Here is a 17,468-nt window from a genome sequence, read left to right on the forward strand (position 1 = left end):
AGAGCTTCTTCTTTTTTTTCAGGAAAGAAAAGAAACATGACTTCAAAGGCAAATACAACTAACTCATCCATAAAAAATTTCTCAAAGGAACTATGGCTGTTTTGAACTAGCCCTTCCCTAGATATATAACTTCTTTAAGTCCTCTCTGGATGGTTGTTTACATCTGTTGTTTATACATCTAAATTGCATGATTCATTTGTAATTGTTAACATGTTGGAATAATGTTACAGGTACTCCATGGCATTTTATATTTGGCTTAGCAGAGTTAGCACTTAACTGTATATATTGGTCAGGCACTGTTGTATAACAAACCATCCTAAAACTAAATGGCTTAAGACAACAATTCTTTATTTAGCCTGCAATTCTGTGGGTCAGCAGTTTCAGCCAAACTCATCTGCATGGTTCACCTGGACTTGGCTAGGCTCCACCATGTATCTCTGGGCAGTTGTAGGTTAGCTAGTTGGCTCTGCTTCTAGGGGTGCTGACTGTGGGCTGGGGAGACTCAGCTCTCCTCCATGTGATCCCTCATTCCCATCAGGCTGGCCCTGGCTTGTTCGCAGAGGCAGGGTTCCAGAAGACAGAACAAAAGCACATAAGGTCTCCAGAGGCTTAGGCTAAGAAGCATCTCATTACTACTTCTGCCACACTATTGGCCAAAGCAAGTTATAAGGTCAGCCTAGACTCAGTAGGTAGGAACATCAACTCAACTTTTGTTCTTCTTTTAAATAAAATAAAACGAATCTGTCAACTTGAAAAAGCTTTTTTGTAGAGATGGGGGTCTCACGTATGTTGCCCAGGCTGACCTCGAATTCCTGGGCTCAAGTGATCCTCCCACCTTGGCCTCCCAAAGTGCTGGGAATACAGGTGTGAGCCACCACGCCCAGCCCCACTCAATTTCTTAATGGGCAGAGCTTCAAAGTAATAAGTGATATAGATATGGAGGGGCCGGGGGAATGGGTGTCATTTTTGTAATTAGACCACTGTACTGCATGTCTGATTGCCTATGAACACAAAGTGGTTGGGGACCCTAGCTCCACTGCCCAGCATGTCATACATAGTCTGGCATATAGTGGGTGCTTAAAGATTGAACAAATTTGGCCAGGTGCAGTGGCTCACACCTGTAATCCCAGCACTTTGGGAGGTCAAGGCAGGCAGATCACGAAGTCAAGAGATCGAGACCATTCTGGCCAAAATGGTGAAACCCCATCTCTACTAAAAGTACAAAAATTAGCTGGGTGTGGTGGCGCTTGCCTGTAGTCCCAGCTACTTGGGAGGCTGAGGCAGGAGAATTGCTTGAACCCGGGAGGCAGAGGTTGCAGTAAGCCGAGATCGCGCCACTGGACTCCAGCCTGACGACAGAGTGAGACTCCATCTCAAAAAAAAAAAAAAGATTGTACAAATGCGTAAATGTCACTCAGCCCCTCAAAGTAATTTTGTGAGTTTTTCCCTTCTTTTCAAACCATTTAAATAAACATATGTATTATGGTTTATGAATATAATAAGGCCAGTTTTGGGAAATTCATTAAAGGCTTAGGAACATCTCTCTGCCTCTGGAATTGTGCTATTTTATGGCAATTCTCTTTTCTCCAGTAGATTCTGACATGGTAGTCAGGAAAGTTATATGGGCAACCAGTTGGCAGCTGACTAAAAAGGAAGACATTTGTTCATTCAATTATTGCTTTATTATTAGTAACCCCTAGCTGAACCTACTTAAATTTATCCTGAGATTTGGAAAGGTTTCAGTGGAATAGCTAGTTCATTTTGTCCACTTGTTGTGCAATATATAAATAAATGATTTTCTAATGTTTATTTGAAAAGTAAATGAAAAGATACTTCTTTATTTCTGAAAAATGTTAAGTCATCTCATGTCCAGAAATCTGAGTGAGGTATGCTGTAACTCAGCGTACCTGCTCTCATCATTATCCAACGTGTCTCTGTGGCACATACTAGGAGCTGCATATGAAGCTGTTTCATGATCTGTATAGCACAAACTGCTTTAATCAGCTCATAGTCAGTGAGTTCTCTGAGCTTAGTTTGGGATTCTGACTCCTTTTTAGGAAAAACCCCAATAAAAACAAAACCCATACCGGCACAAACAACTTTGATAAGCTCAGTTAAGTGATACAGAGTCATATTATGGTGTATCTTTTTAACAGAGCTATAAACCCAATAAGGTCAGGTGAGTTCGGCAGCCAGTTGAATTTGATAATATTTTTATATTGTGGGTGGATTGCTCTTCTCCCTGGTCATTGGGAAAGACTTGGTCTACATTTAAGCTTGCTGGGAAAATACAGTGACAAAATTCACAGAACTGAGAAACATGAGGAGGTAATGGTAAAATACAACAGCCAAAGAAAAAGAAATATAACTTTAAAAAAATTAAATATAATTTTATTGTCATTTAAAAAAATTATCAATACAGTATAGAATTTATTGTATAAAAATAGAAAATTAAAACAACCATTATTCTACCCTGGGAGGGAACCCCTGTAAAACTCAGCTTTTCTGTAAGTATATGCATATTGTTATTGTTTCAGAAAAATGGAATTTTGTGTTGTATACTGGTTTTAACTTAATCTTTAATAATATTTTATGACCCAAATTTAAGCAACTGCATAGCTTTTATGGTTATACAATTAATATAGTAGTTTACGGTTATGTCATAATTTATTTAACTGATTAAGGTGCTTACAGTTTTTTTCGATTATAAATAACACTTTAAATTATGGCCTTTAAGTATATCTCTGAAAATTTCCTTAGGATAAAATTTTCCTTAGGATAAATCAGTATAAGTGGAATTTTTAGATCACTGGCTTTGTATATTTTTAAGGCTTTCGAATCAGATTGCCAGAATACCCCGTAGAAAAGATTATTGTCTAGTAGTCTGTAAAAAGTAAATCCTTTCGGAAAGTATCTATTATCTCCCTTGTGATATAATAAGGTAATGAATCCAGAAGCAACTTTTCTTCTTGAATTCTGCCTGTATTTAATTTGATATTTACTATGGGCCCTGTGTGTGGTATCATTTTAGGATACCAGCAGATGCACCATAGGCCCCTTGTTGACCGGTAGAAACTGGCCCAACCATTGGCTGGAAATCAAAGTTTACTACTGTAAGCTGAGAACCTCTGCTCTAAAGTAGGACTCCCAAACAGAGCCTGGTATATCTTCAAGAAGTAATGCCTACGGTGGCTTCTGCCTGTCATAACCAGGATGACCTAATTGACTATTATTTGGGGAAGAGAACTTTCCATCCTCCTAGGGACTGGGTGACAGTCTCAGCCTCTGCTGCAGCCATACGATGGTGGTCAGAATTTAACAAATGGGTGTGGTCCATCTCTGGGAATGAATGGTCAGCGGCTGCTGTATTGACACAGCATTACCATGGCAGTATAACCACTAGACACACTGTAGGGATGCCCTGTTTAGGGGGTTTCCAGGTGAGCGATGGCAGTTTTTGTGTAGGGGACAAAGAGTACACAAAAGGAATGTGCAGTGTGGTTAGCCAAGAATGTTTAACAGTATAAAATAATAAAGCAATATTAAAAAAATAATAGGACAAAATAAAATAATGTCTTTGGAAAACAGTCTTATTGCTCATAGCTAAAATTTAATGCAAAATTTTGGCCTTAATCATATTTTACATTTCAACTTTTGTAGCTTTTGAGGAATGTGAAGTCTAGAGTGAGAATGCTGGGATGTGAATTCTAGCTAGACTACTTATAAGCTTGGTGCAACTCTCTCTTTTCTCATCTGGAAAAATGGGGGTGATATTACCTACCTCATGGTATTGTTGTGAGGATAAAATGTTTTTACTATGTATAAAGCATATAGAATAGTACCTAGCACATAGTAAGTGATAAGTACTAAGTGGCACATACATGCTTAGTTATTGTTTTGTTTTGTTTTGTTTTTGTTGAGACGGAGTTTCACTCTTGTTGCCCAGGCTGGAGTGCAGTGGCGCGATCTAGGCTCACTGCAACCTCTGCCTCCCGGGTTCAAGCAATTCTCCTGCCTCAGCCTCCCGAGTAGCTGGGATTACAGGCTTTACAAGCATGTGCCACCACACCCAGCTAATTTTGTATTTTTAGTAGAGACGGGGTTACTCCATGTTGGTCAGGCTGGTCTCAAACTTCCAACCTCAGGTGATTCACCCACCTAGGCCTCCCAAAATGCTGGGATTACAGGCGTGAGCCACCGCTCCCAGCCTATCGTTTGTTTTATCATTAAGTTATTATAATGACTTTTGCACACAGTGATGTAACATCAATTATAATCTTAGTACTGTTCTTGTAGTGTTCTTTCTGCAGTTCTCCATTCTTTTCTATCAAAATAACACTGCCTCTTTCCTTCAAGGCTCACATTAAGACCCTACTACTCCATGGAGCCTCCCTGGATTACCCTAGTACAGAGGTTGCCAAATTGCTTCTGCAAAGAGCCACATAGTAAATATTTTAGGCTTTGAGGGCTATGTGGTCTTTGCTGCCATTATTCAACTCTGTCACTGTAGCATGAAAGGTGCTGTAGATAATATGTACAAAAATGGGAATGGCTATGTTTCAATAAAACTTTGTTTACAAAAGCAGTGGACCAGATTTGGCCCTTGATGATGTTATTCTTCTTACAACTTCTAAAACTCAGAAGCTGGTGCCCCAAAGCTCTCATGCCAAAAGTGGCAAGCCCGCTGGTTTTGCTGGGCTATGGGCCTGGGTCTGCTGCTCCACTTCCACACTGCTAAAAGAAGTTCATGTCCACCTGCCCAGGGCTCTGTGGCTTAGAAGCTTTAAGCCATGTCTGGTCATTCCTCCACCCTTCCAATCACACTCAAATCCCACTTTCCCATCATCCAAAATCAGAGAAATTAGAAGTATCCAGGTAATTGAGCTACGTCCAGAAATACCTGACGTCACACCTTGGAGAGGTTTCTGGAACATAGTCTATGCTGTTGTATCAGTTAGCTTCTTCTGCTTAACAAATAACTCAAATGCTTAATGTCTTAAAACAATAGACATTTATTATTCATTATAATTCTGGATAGGTCTTCTTGTCTTGGCTGACTTGGCTTGGGCCAGGTGGTCTAGGACGGTCTCACTCACATGTCTGGGGCCTTGGCAGGATGACCAGATCCTCTCCCCCTGTTGTTGCTCACCATTAGCCTAGCCTAGGCTTCTTCACGTGGTGGATGGGTTCCCATCAGTAAGAGAAGACAATCACCATACAATCATAGCAAGCCAACGCCACTTATCCAGTGAACCAGCTCAAACAAACACTTCTCACCCTCTGCTTGTATCACATTTGCTAATATCCCCTTGGCCAAACAAATTGCGTGACTAAGCTTGGATTCTATGGATGAAGAAATAAACTTCACCTCCTAAGGGGAGAAGTGACAAAGTCACCTTGCAAAAGGGAGAGCCTACCAGAACTTGCATTTGGTTACATACCGTCTTCTATTATTCCCTAGTTTGATGGGCAAGTCTCTTCTGACAACCTTATTCACCAATCATTCATCCTTAAGCATATGTTTGTTGAACACCTACTAAGTTTCAGGCCCTATGCCGGGTGCTAGAGATACAACAGTGAACATGACAAAGTTCCTCATGGAATTTAGTGTCTCACACAAGGGACAGATGATAATTTAAATTTGGAAAACAATAAACAGAATGGTCTAATAAAGAATAATTTAGGGGTATTCTATTTCACAGGGGTCAAGGGGGCCTGATGTGATGGGGGTCAGGTGGGATCTCATGGCTGAGGAGGAACCAGCGGTGTGAGTCATAGAGAGAAAGCATTTTAGGTCAGAAACCAAACACTTGGATTCTCGGAGCATTTCTACTTCTTCTGGCTATGTCCATTGACTTCTCTGGGCCTTAGCCTATCTGTAAAATGAAAGCAAATCCACAAGTTTGAACCCAGTACCATGTCAAATACAGACATAAAAGCAGTGAACCTAATAATGGCACTGATTTCTTGTTAGGGCTGGCTTACGTGGAGTAAGAGGTCTCCAGTGTTTGTACGTCCAAGTGTGGAGTAGAGGGAAGAAGAAAACTACCCTTGTTGGGTGCCTTCTGTACACTAGGCATTTGGGCTTTTTTTTTTTTTTTTTTTTTTTTAACCCATAGCGCTTTTATTTCTCACAACAGCTCTGCAAGGTAGGCTCCGTGACCCACATTTTATAGATGAGGTAACAGAGGGTCCGAGTAGTTAAGGAACGTGGCCAAGGACACACAGCTAGCCTTTGCTAGAGCTGGGATTCAAATCCTTTTCCTGTTAAAAAAAACACCCCACTGCTTCAGCCACACTTAGACAGAAGGTCTGAAGCAGTGGTGTGTTATGGTCTAGAGTGGGGGTTTCATAGGCCACCAAATTTAAAACTAACAGATAGGGGCATATTTTTAAAAAACATATTGTCTTGATCATTTCATAAAAGAAATGACATCTCTGCGACAAAAAATTAAAAAAGGAAGCGCTTACAAGGCAGTCAGTCTTTCCCAAGAAGGGACAGTTAGCAGGCAGAACCCACACATGGGCATGTTCCCAGATGCAGCTTTGTCCTTGCTCTCTACATTTTGCCTTTGATGGGTGGAAACTTCCTATCCCTAAGCCAACCTTTGGGGGCCACAATCCAGCCTGTCCTGCAGAAGGCCCCAGGGCGAGGCCTGGCACAGCCGTGATGGCGTGTCTTCTCCACAAGGGCGCAGAGGAAATGCTTGCTGAAGGTCACATTGGTAGCCTTCTATTTAAAGCAGTCTTTTAAGAGTTTAAACTCCACTAGCCCCCTCAGTCCCTCAGGGCTAATTTTGTCCATTTTTCTCATCTGCCTTTGTTTTGCTAGCCTCTGAAGAGAGGGAGGCCCTCATCTCCATGACAGCGTTCGGCTGCTGGGCTGGGTTTTCCTGGCAGACAGCAAGCAGAATGTTCAGTCACAAAAAGTTTTGCAATCAGGAAGATGGATGTCTGCACTTAATTTTAGAACTTCTATTAAATACTTTAAATGAGCTTAATGATTTTATTTGACCAAGGCCATTTAAAACCACATTGTTGTTTTTAATTGGAGTGGATAAACATGAACATGATGCTGTCTTTGGAGAATATTTTTAGCTTTCCTCACTCTGATAGTTGCTTCTGTTTTAGGGGTTTGCTGCAGTATTGATCCCAAAGAACAAAATAACATATCCAAAACAATAACAAAAACAGGACACTCTGTGTACCACTCTGTGATAGCTGAATGAATTATGAAACCTGCCATAAACTTCATTACTATATTGGATCACACAGAGTAGTTTCCCTCATAGACCCAAAAAGCGTCCCTCTGTTCCCTGTTGCTATAATCTGCCAACCATGGAGGATTTACATGTTTCCTCATTCATTCATCAGACATTTATTAAGTGCCTTCCATGAGACAGCTCCAGGATATAGAAATGAAAGTTTTGTGTATATTTTTTCCAATGCTGAATCCCATTGCCTAAAAAATACAGAGAACCAGGCCTGTCCAATAATAGGGATGTAACTGGCTCAAGCCCAGCTGCTGGCTGCTTGGAGGCAGAAAACATGAGAAGCTAGGTGTGGTAAAAGGATTTAAATTCTGGCTTTTGGGGAATGACCAGGCTCAAGTCTTTGAAAGACCATTCCAAACTTTAGGCTGTGGAGAGGGGCTTAAAAAGGGGAACGTGGAGGAGGGGTGGGAGCATGTGGGAGTGGTGCTGGGTGCAAGGTCTGCGTGTTCAGTTCCGGAGGCCGTGTTGAGTCACGGTCCACCTGAAGCACAGCGTGCCATCATTTCAGCAATGCCCGGGTTGTAGACTAACCCTTTTGAGGTAATCTCTGCAATTTCACAGCTGGGTCTCCATACCTGGTTTGTTTAAAAATTAGCTCCTGGAACTTCTAAGTAAGTGCCTAATTAGATAAGCTAGTAGTTCAAGAGAGTGTCTGGTAGGAAGGGAGGAAAACAAAAAGTTTTTAAGTACGTTTTAATGCTGAGAGCAAGAAAAGAAAAAAAAAGTTTTAAAATGCAATTTTAAAGCTAAGCTCCTCGATTACAGGTAAATGGTAAATATTCATTGGATGGATGAATGAATGAGCAAGGAAACAGTGTGGCATGTGCTGTGACAATTGTAGCTAAGGGTTTGATGGGCACAGAGAAGGAGTCTCGGATCCCTCTGACACATTCATGGAAGGCTTTTATAGAAGATGTGATTTTATAGATGTGTAAGCATTTTCCAGATGAGGAAGGGGAGAGGAGTGTTCCAGGCAAAAGTTGAAGATGGGGCTGGAAGGCAAGAGGACTCAGAATAAAATTGCCTATATAGAGTTACATGGAAAAATGGAAATCTATCCATTCTGTTAACATTTATTTTGCATAACCCTATATAAACAACTAGGGATCCATAGGATATTAAAGACACTCAAAAGGACTCAATAAATACCATTTCCTCAGAGAAGCCTTCCTTTGGAACCCCCAGGTTAGGTCCCCCTCTTTTACATTTGCTGTTGTTCGCCTTTGTAGCACTTAACACAATTGAAATTAAGTCATTATTACCAAGTCATTATTACCAAGTCATTAGTTTAATGTCAGCTATAAACTCCAGGAGGGCTGGGCAGGTCTCTCTTGTCACAGCCTTATTACTAGGGCTTTGCATAGTGCTAGGGAGGCGGCACATAGTAGGACGTTAATGTATATATGCTTTTATCATAAGTTATATCTAATTATACAGTAATTAGTGTAGTTATAAATAACGCATAATAAGATATAATTGTATAATAATGCAAATAGTATATTACTTTCATACATTTTATCTAATTATATAATGAATTGCATCTAATTACATAGGGCTTGGGATGATACATTCATGTAAACATTCATGGAATTATATATAAACAGGACAAGGTCTTTGGTGACCAAAGTCTAGCTCATTTCTTAGTAATTTCTGCCTTCTACCTCAGTTAACCTTCATTGCAAAACGTATGTCCTCTCTGATACTATCTTTAGGCAAACTCTTAAGAACTAGTGCCTGGAATGATATACTGACGTGGAAGAGTACTGAGGGCTGTTAGTGCTTTAAGAAAAATCTCAGCTTAGAGAATCTACCTCCATATCGAGGAACCTCAAGACAGCTGAAATGACAATCTACCTTTTCCTAGTAATAATTCCTACGGAAGGAGAAAACACTTTTCTTCTTCTAACAAATTGAGAACTGATTTTGGATTGAAAAAGCAGAAAAATCTGTCTTTTTTTTTTTTTCCTTCTGGTGTATGGATAAACAGGAAGTTGGGGGCGGGGGGAGTGAATTCTGAATTAGCCCGCAACTCTGCGTGTTTTTTTTTTTTCCTTGAGTTGGCGTGGTAAAAATAGTTTATTTAATTTGGTGGTTTTAAGAGGCTTATAAATTTTTTAATGGTTAAACGTTCAGGAATGCTTGTGTAGATGCTTACTTTGCTTGTTGTTTGAAAATATCTAGAACACTTTCATTTGCTGTTTTTGTTATAACAAACTAAAGGTCTGCTATTATTGCAATTATCCTCTTTGTTTCTCCACCTTTTACTAGAAAAGTTAAGAGAGCTTTCCATATTTCCTTCTCCTGGGTGGATGCCTGTAAAGAGGTGATATGAAATGAAATTGTCTGGAAAGGCTTTCCTTCTTCATCAGCCCCCCTCTACCTTCTCATTGTCAGGGCAGGGCTCAGAGCCCTTGGTCTTCCCACTCTCTACAGTTGCCTCTCTCCCCACCCGCGTACCTATGTAAAACCATGGAAATAATAAAACTGTCTTATATCTTACATTCCTATAGCCTTAGTGTTTCTAATGCATTTTCATGTATGAAATTAAATTAAGCCAGGCTTAGCTGAAGTAAAAGTAAACCCCCACAAGGTACAATGTTTGCTACAGGACTTTTTTCTCACATCAGCTCTTGACTGGCAGCCTTCTCTTCTCCACACAGTGATTAGGACTCCTGCCAGTGCTGCAGCTTGTCATCCTCTTAGGTTCTTAGCATCATCTTATTCTAGCTACTGGAATGAAAAGAGAGCGTGGGGGAGGCAGTACACCTGCTTCTTAAAAGCCCCGGCCAAGAATGGCATACCTCATTGGCTAGAATGGGACACGTGACCAAAACCAACTGCAAAGTCGACTCAGAGATGTAGTCTAGCCATGTGCTCAGGTACAGACCTACTTTTAGGGAAAGAAATTATGGATTTGGTGAAGAGCTAAGTTTCTACCATAGGTTTTTTTTATTTGATCCTCATCATATTTAGAGAAGTAGGTGGAATCGATTGTTTCCCCCTCCATTTCACAGATGAGGAAACTAAGAATTTATGAGAGCAGATTCTACCATCTGTGGTTTTGATTTATAATGTGATTCTGTTACTGAAATGGTTACTGTGAGAACCTCCTTAAATACATTTCTGTAAGGTTCCCTGAAATTTATCAAACTATCTTTTCAAGGCCTCTGATTCTAAACATCCCCATATTCCTAGTTCATTCAGCTTTGACATTTTGAGAAACTGGGAAAGCCTTACCCAATAGAGGTAGACCTTTATCAGGGGTTAGATTCCAGTGTCATCACACAAGGCAAAGATTACACGTAGACAAAATTACCCCAGAAAATCCCTTTGAAAAGCACACTGCTGGAGACTGACATATGTCTCTCATTAGGACCTACAAAGCCAGTTCTTGCCATAGCTCTGGAAACAGATCACTCCATGGAACACCAGATGAAACAGTTGTTTTCTGTTCTCTTGTTGTATCAAATATGTGTCCTTAAGCACAACAGTCATACCAGCACAACGCAATGCTTATGTCCTGAAAACCACGCATCCCTCTCATTGTCTTCTTGTCACTATCTCCTACCATAATAGTTTCTTTGGGATTAGAATTTCTCTTGTGCCTTTTAGGAACTATGTCTTTTTGTTGTTGTTGTTGTTATTGAGTATTTTTCCACTTCAGAAAGGAAGATTAAATGTGTCATATGGATAAGCAACACCAGAAGGGAAAATTTTGTTCTATGGACCCTAGAACTCATCCCTGAAAAAAAAAAAATAGAGGGAAATAAAACTCTGTGTGCATCTCTGCCTGTACAAAGCTAGCATTGTCTGGGGTGAAGGGGAAAAGCTGGGGTTCTGGCAGGCCGGCCCCATTAGAGCCTTGTTTCTTGTTCCATATTGAAAAGATGACATTCCTTTGCTAGCAGCGTCCTGCCTGGATTTCTGGCAGCAGTTCTGTGGCTAGCACTATTCCTGGGGCATTTTTGTTGGGGTTGGTTTTGTTTTATTTCAAAAGCAGCAAAATGCAGGCTTTATAAATGTTCAAGGTAGAACTGTTTTTATAAAGCTTGTCACCAAACTTGTCAGTACAGTCAAGGTGGCCCGTCTGCCAGGGTGTCTGCTTCCTTTTCACTGGTGTCAAGATGTATGAGAAGGCATATATATAGTGAATTTCACTTCTTAACTTGTTCTCAAGTGTTTCTGAGGCAGCCCTTGTGTTTTCACATGGGCTTCTCCTCCCTCTCAGGGCTTCATGTAATGTTTCATTTATAACAGAGATTGGTGGATTTGCAAAGTAAATATTTCAATAAGAAAAAAGCAAGATCTTCGGTGACCCTCTCGGTTCTGCTTCTATGGAGGTATTTTCTATGTCTGGCAGGAAAAAAAAAAAACCTTTATCTTGGCTGCAACTCTGAACTGGAGCGTGTAAAATGTACTTCTCAGGTTCTGTGAGCCTTAAAATAATGAGCAGTAGAAAACTCTGAGGTAGGTCAGCGATGGGGAGAATACCATAGTTTTATAAAGGATTTTCATGGTTAAACAAATTTGGAGAAACTAGAATGACCAAGCAATGTTAATTCTCCACTGGGCTTTTGAATCTGAAAATAGCAGCAATTCTAAGTACACAACACCACCATTCATACAGCCCTGGAAAGTCCCCCACATCAGGAAAATTATCCTTATTAGTCAAACCCAGTAGGGATCATCTGACTATTCCTCAGGGAAATGAGAATTTTTGTTTGGATCTTACTTCTCTGTATTGTACTCAAATTGTACATGAGCTATGCCACATCTGGGGACTTTGCGATTATGGTCATGTTTTCAATAAGAAATACTTCTGAAAGCTGCTGCTCTAATTTATATGTGTCATTCCTCATTAACATAAATAAATTCAGAATAATAGCATGAGGTGGTGGTATTTTTTTTTATTTTTCAGTTTCCAGAGTCATCCTGCTCTGTTAGGTGTTCCTTCAGCTGGCTGGGACCCTAAGCCAGTTTACAGTCCCAACACTTGCTAAGATATTGTTTGATGACATTTATTCTGTTTGGCTCTACAGTTTGTCAATCTCATGATTTCATCAAAAACGTTATGCTGAAATGCTTGAATATCTTTTAGTATGTTTGTTGTGTTGAGCTGTGATAAAAAGTATGAAAGTTTTCATTCCAATACCAAAACGTAGAAAGAGGGTATCAGAAATTAAGTGATTCTGCTAATTCTTGTTATTTCACTAAAATGAAATTAAATGTATAATTTCTAATTCAGTTGTATTTTGCTCTTAAATTATCATTTTCTGCTTTAAGAATTAGGTGGAAAGTATGCCCTACTTAAATGCATGTTTGGTGCTAATTCTTGCCTGTTGACCAAAAATTTGAGTCTCATGTTGTGTACAGTATACATACAGATATCATTTTTTTCTCTAAGTATTTGTGACAGGTAAGATCTGTGCAAAATTATGAATTACATTACAAATCGTAAATGGGTCTTACTGTCCTCACTGAATATATTTGGTTTTTAAACCCAAATTCATAATGCAGGCACTTCTTTTGCTATGCTCACGTGTATGATGTTTGCTGTTAGAGAGTTCACAGGATTGATATCCCAGACTTTGGTGGTTTAAGATACCTAAAAGAGTATTTTTGAATTATTGAGTCTACATCAGGTATTCCTTTGTTATTTGATTATTTTTATCTGTCTTATTTCTTATGAGCTCTGGGCCTCAGAAAGAATATTTCTGTTCTCCACTACGTACACTATCAGAAATATGAGCATTGGATGAGGGATGGTAAGAGTGACCTCCAAGGAACTAAATGTTTACCTGTATTATATCGGGGTGGATAAGCTATTATCCAAATAACAAAGGGGGGGGGATCCCCTGCAAAAAATCACTATAGATAAGTTATGTTGAAGTATATTACTATTAAGTAATTAGTATTTTAGTAACTTATTTTAAATAATAAAGCTGACATTCCTATAAGAATATATAAAACAGAATTTATATAGGAAAGAAAAAATAACAGAAAAATTTTGGGGCTTGATATTTTGTGACACTTACTTCTTTTTCTTCAAGCCATCTGGGGAGCACAGTCAATGGATGTGGGTAAATGTTTGTTTCTGAATCCTTGCTGGAACCCAAGTCACCTCTCCTCTCATGGAAGTCCTCTGCCATATCCACGCTGACCAATAACATTCTAAAGTAGGCTTCAAGATCAGTCTCCTTGGCTCTGCAGTGCTATTACTCCTGCAGGAAATGCATCTGGCATTTGTTACTCTCACAGTAACATCCTTTCTTCCATTCACAGTTGAGGCCCTAACTCTTCCCATTTTAGTTATGGTAAGGCCAGGTTATGCTGCAGGAACAAACTCAAAATTACAATGGCTTCAAATAGTAGTTGTGTATTTGTCACTCACACCATGTGTCCATTTTGGATAGATAGTTCTACTCCATGTTACCTTCACTCAAGGACCAAGACTGATGGAGTCACCTCCATTTAGAAAATCACTGGCCCTTGAATTAAGGGGAAGAACAATGGAGAATTGCCCACTTGCACTGGTATCTTTCTACTGAATCTCAAACACATCATTTCCACTCACAACTCATTGACTAAAGCAGTCCTCTTGGCCTCACCTAATCCAAATGGAGTAGATGAAAATGCAAACATACCATGTGTCTAGAAGAAGGAGAATGGGCAGTTGCCAATGTTTACTCCTTTCTTCTGCTCTAAGAATTACAATGATTTTTTGTTTTCCCATAACCATGTGGTTCTCAGTGTACTTGTCTTGCACAGCTGCATTTATATGCACTGGATAAAGGGTCCCCTCCCCAGCAATATCAAACTCTTTGGGGCCCTTAATAAGAGGTTTATGTAAAACCTTTTGAGTAGAGATACTCTTATTTGGCTGTGCCTTCTATTTTTACACTCCATTCTCTGCAGACACTTTTTACAAGTTTCTTAAGAATAGTTTATAGGGTAGATTTAGGAAAAAAAATTGTGTGGCACCCCAAATTGCCTCCCTCCAAACTGAATATGATCATAACGTATCTTTCATTTTATCTTTCTACAGTCTCCCCTGCCTTTCTGGGACCTCCCCAAGCAGTTAAAGGGCACCTGCTATCCTTGTCTTTATGTGAGAGACCCAGTCGTGGGCCTACAACTGTCCCATTCTGTGTAAACACCATTTTTTCCACAATGGCTTGTTGAGTCTTCCCTGGAGTAGAAGTGCTGGCAGCCATCCTGAGGTTGCAAGTTTCCTGTAGTGGAACTTTCATTGTGGTACTGATTACTATTTGAAACTCTTTCATGAATAGTTTACTTAGTCACTGTTTTTCTCTCCCACTAGTGTGTAAGTGCTATGAGAATAGGAACTTTGTAAGTCTTGTTCACTTCTGTATTCTCAGCACCCACAGCAAATCTTGGCATGATGTAGGCACTCAATAAACGTTTGTTGAATGACTCAATAATAAATAGTATGTAGAAGAGGTGGGAGAAAACACAGAATTAGAGCACATTTGTACTAGATCCAAGTTATCACAGGACAATAGCTATGGGGCAAATGGAGGAGATGTTTAGGATACTGTTGGCCAAGTATGTCCTAACAGATCAGAAAGGAAGAATGAAAATGTCAATAGGCATCCTTTATTCATTTCATTTTTAGTTCTAGGAAAGTAAATGCTCATCTGAGATTCAGAGGTATGCAGAGGTGCCTGCCCCATCTGTCTTGCTGTATCTTCCTAGCTGCCTATTGCCATGCTGCTCTTGGGCATGGGGTAGGTGACTCAAGAACAACATTGGGGCTCAGTATGCCACCTGATGAGATGGCTTTTTGGTGTCTGCCAAGGGTGACTGTTTCCTTTACACAATGGTTGAACTTATCAATTATTCAGGTTACTTCTTAGCCCCAAGTTGAACTGGTTTTGGGTTTCAAATATTGGTCTTTCCCTGTTTGTCATATACAACAGTGAAATAACAGATGCCTTCTGTTCATTTTGAAGTGATAAATCCTATAATTACTACAAGTACTTGCATACTGCAGTTTATTGAGGATGTACATATGCAACATCTCCTTTTTATAACAGCTCTATTATGTAAGTAAGACAGAGAGTGGAATCCCTTCTCCCTTAGGGTTTAACTTCTAGAATAAGCATATGAGGTAAATATTGTATATGGTTAAAATGACCCTTAAATCACCCAAGACGTGTCCCAGTTACCATTGCTGTATAACAAACCATCGCAAATCTTAATAGCATAAAACTTTTTTATTTGGCTCACAGATTGTGGGTCATGAATTTATGTAAGCATAGTGGGGATGATTTGTCTTTGCTTCCTGCTATCTGGGGCCCAGCTGATGACAGTCAACATCTGGAGTAACTCAGTGTCTGGTAGGTATTGGAGTTGTCTTCAGTTATAGGTCTCGTAGTTGGTGTTGCCTGCTAAGTCCTCAGCTAGAACTGCTAACTGGAGCATCAATACAAGCAGCTTCTTGATGTGGCTTGGGCCTCCTTACAAAATGGTGGTCTCAGAGTTGTCAGACCTATTACATGGGGGCTCAGAGGTCCAAAAACGAAGGTTGCAGAGGACAAGGTAGGAGCCACATGGCCTTTTATTCCCTAGCCTTGCAAGTCCCATAGTGTTCCTCCTGTCAAATTCTATTGGTTAAAGCAGCCACAGATCCATCCAGGTACAAGAGGAGGGGACATAAACCCTCCTTTCATTGGGATAGTGCCATAGTCACTTTAAAAGAGCATCTGGGAAGGAGCTATTATTGTGGCCATCTTTGGAAAATCCAAGCTGCTGCAGACTGAGTTTAGTTTTGAATCACAGGCTCTTTCTTCAGTTAGATGCCAGATGAAGCAGGTGGCTTGTTCTTGAGAGCCTGTTGTAGGAAAAATATGCATCTCTGTGCCCTCGGAAGACTAGTGGCTCATTCTGAAAAGCAGATGGGAACTGAGACAGACTGAGGGAGCTGTGGGTTCCCACCACCCATCTTGCCCTACTTCAGGGGACACACTCACTCAGTTAAATGGCGGATGGACATGTGGCTACCACCCACCTTTAAGCTGCTGTGAGTGCGTTCTGGCTTTCCTGGTGACTGAGAAAAATGCAGTACCCTTAGTATCGACATGACGTCTATGGACACAGGGAGAAAAAGAAGAAATCAGAAGGCCCATGTGACACCTGGCTCTGCCAGCTTTATGGAAACAGACCGCAAGCTGATCTCTCAGGGAGTGGTCTCAAGTTCAGGCCCCCTGCTTTCTCCTGGCTTGCATCAGATCATATCACTATTCTCATATTGATTCTAGGCCACTGGGTGAATTTTTTATTTTTACCAAATGTGGGCTCTAATGTAAGCTGCTCCAGTCCTTGCGTTTTCAGGGTGCTGCCTGCCAAAATAGTTATTTATTCCTTTTGGGGAGAGCTATTCCTGTGCATGGTCAGGGTGGTGAACTCCTGTTGACTCTGACCAAAATTCTCTTTGGCCTCCATTTGGAAGTCGTCTATGGGCCTTTAATTGTACCCTCTGGGAAGGGAGAAAGAGCACTTGAAACAGGCATGAATTCTGTACATATTTCTAAGGCTGGGCTGTTTTAAAAATGTTGTCTGTCTGTCTGTCTTCTTTTTTTTTTGCCTTTGAACTTGGATGTGAATTTTCGTGAAGTACAGTGTGTCAAGGGAAGGGCAATGAGAAAATATGCAGGGGTATTTACTTAAAAACTACTCAGTGAATCTGTCATGGTGTGTTCATTGGTTTCAGTATGGTAATACCATATTATGAAATGAAAGGTGTCTTACTCTATGTTAAATGGCTGCTTTGTAAAATCTCAGCCTTGTTGTGCATGGTATTATGCAGTCCATGCCTGTCTCTGACCATGAATTTTATTTTTCTTTTTTACATTTCAAATTAGATTAAAACCCCAAAAGCTATTTATTAATTTGTTCCTATTTAAAATTTAAACACAAAATGAAATGGAATGTGCTGAATTTTGTTCGAATCCTTATAAGTACATGTGATGACTTTTGAAAGAATTGAATTTCATGGATTTTAAGGAGATCTAAAGAATGATGGAAGTGTTTTTGACAGCTCTGAATTGTTACTTTGTTAGTCAGAGTTGAAGACTTGGAAGTCTTCAAATCTCATACTTGGTTCAAACATTTCATTACCACCTACCAAGGCTTTATTATCTCTCATAAAGGAAGTGGATTATCACTGATCAC

The 17,468-nt window shown here is 40.0% G+C and overlaps 1 protein-coding gene across 10 annotated transcripts in view; it reads left to right on the plus strand.

The window, feature by feature from the left end:
• Nucleotides 1–17,468, plus strand: part of RARB (retinoic acid receptor beta) — a 768,612-nt gene that overhangs the window by 632,966 nt on the left and 118,178 nt on the right. The gene's annotated exons all lie outside the window — the stretch shown is intronic.

This window comes from Homo sapiens, chromosome 3, assembly GCF_000001405.40.
Source record: "Homo sapiens chromosome 3, GRCh38.p14 Primary Assembly".
In the NCBI taxonomy this organism is placed as follows: domain Eukaryota; kingdom Metazoa; phylum Chordata; class Mammalia; order Primates; family Hominidae; genus Homo; species Homo sapiens.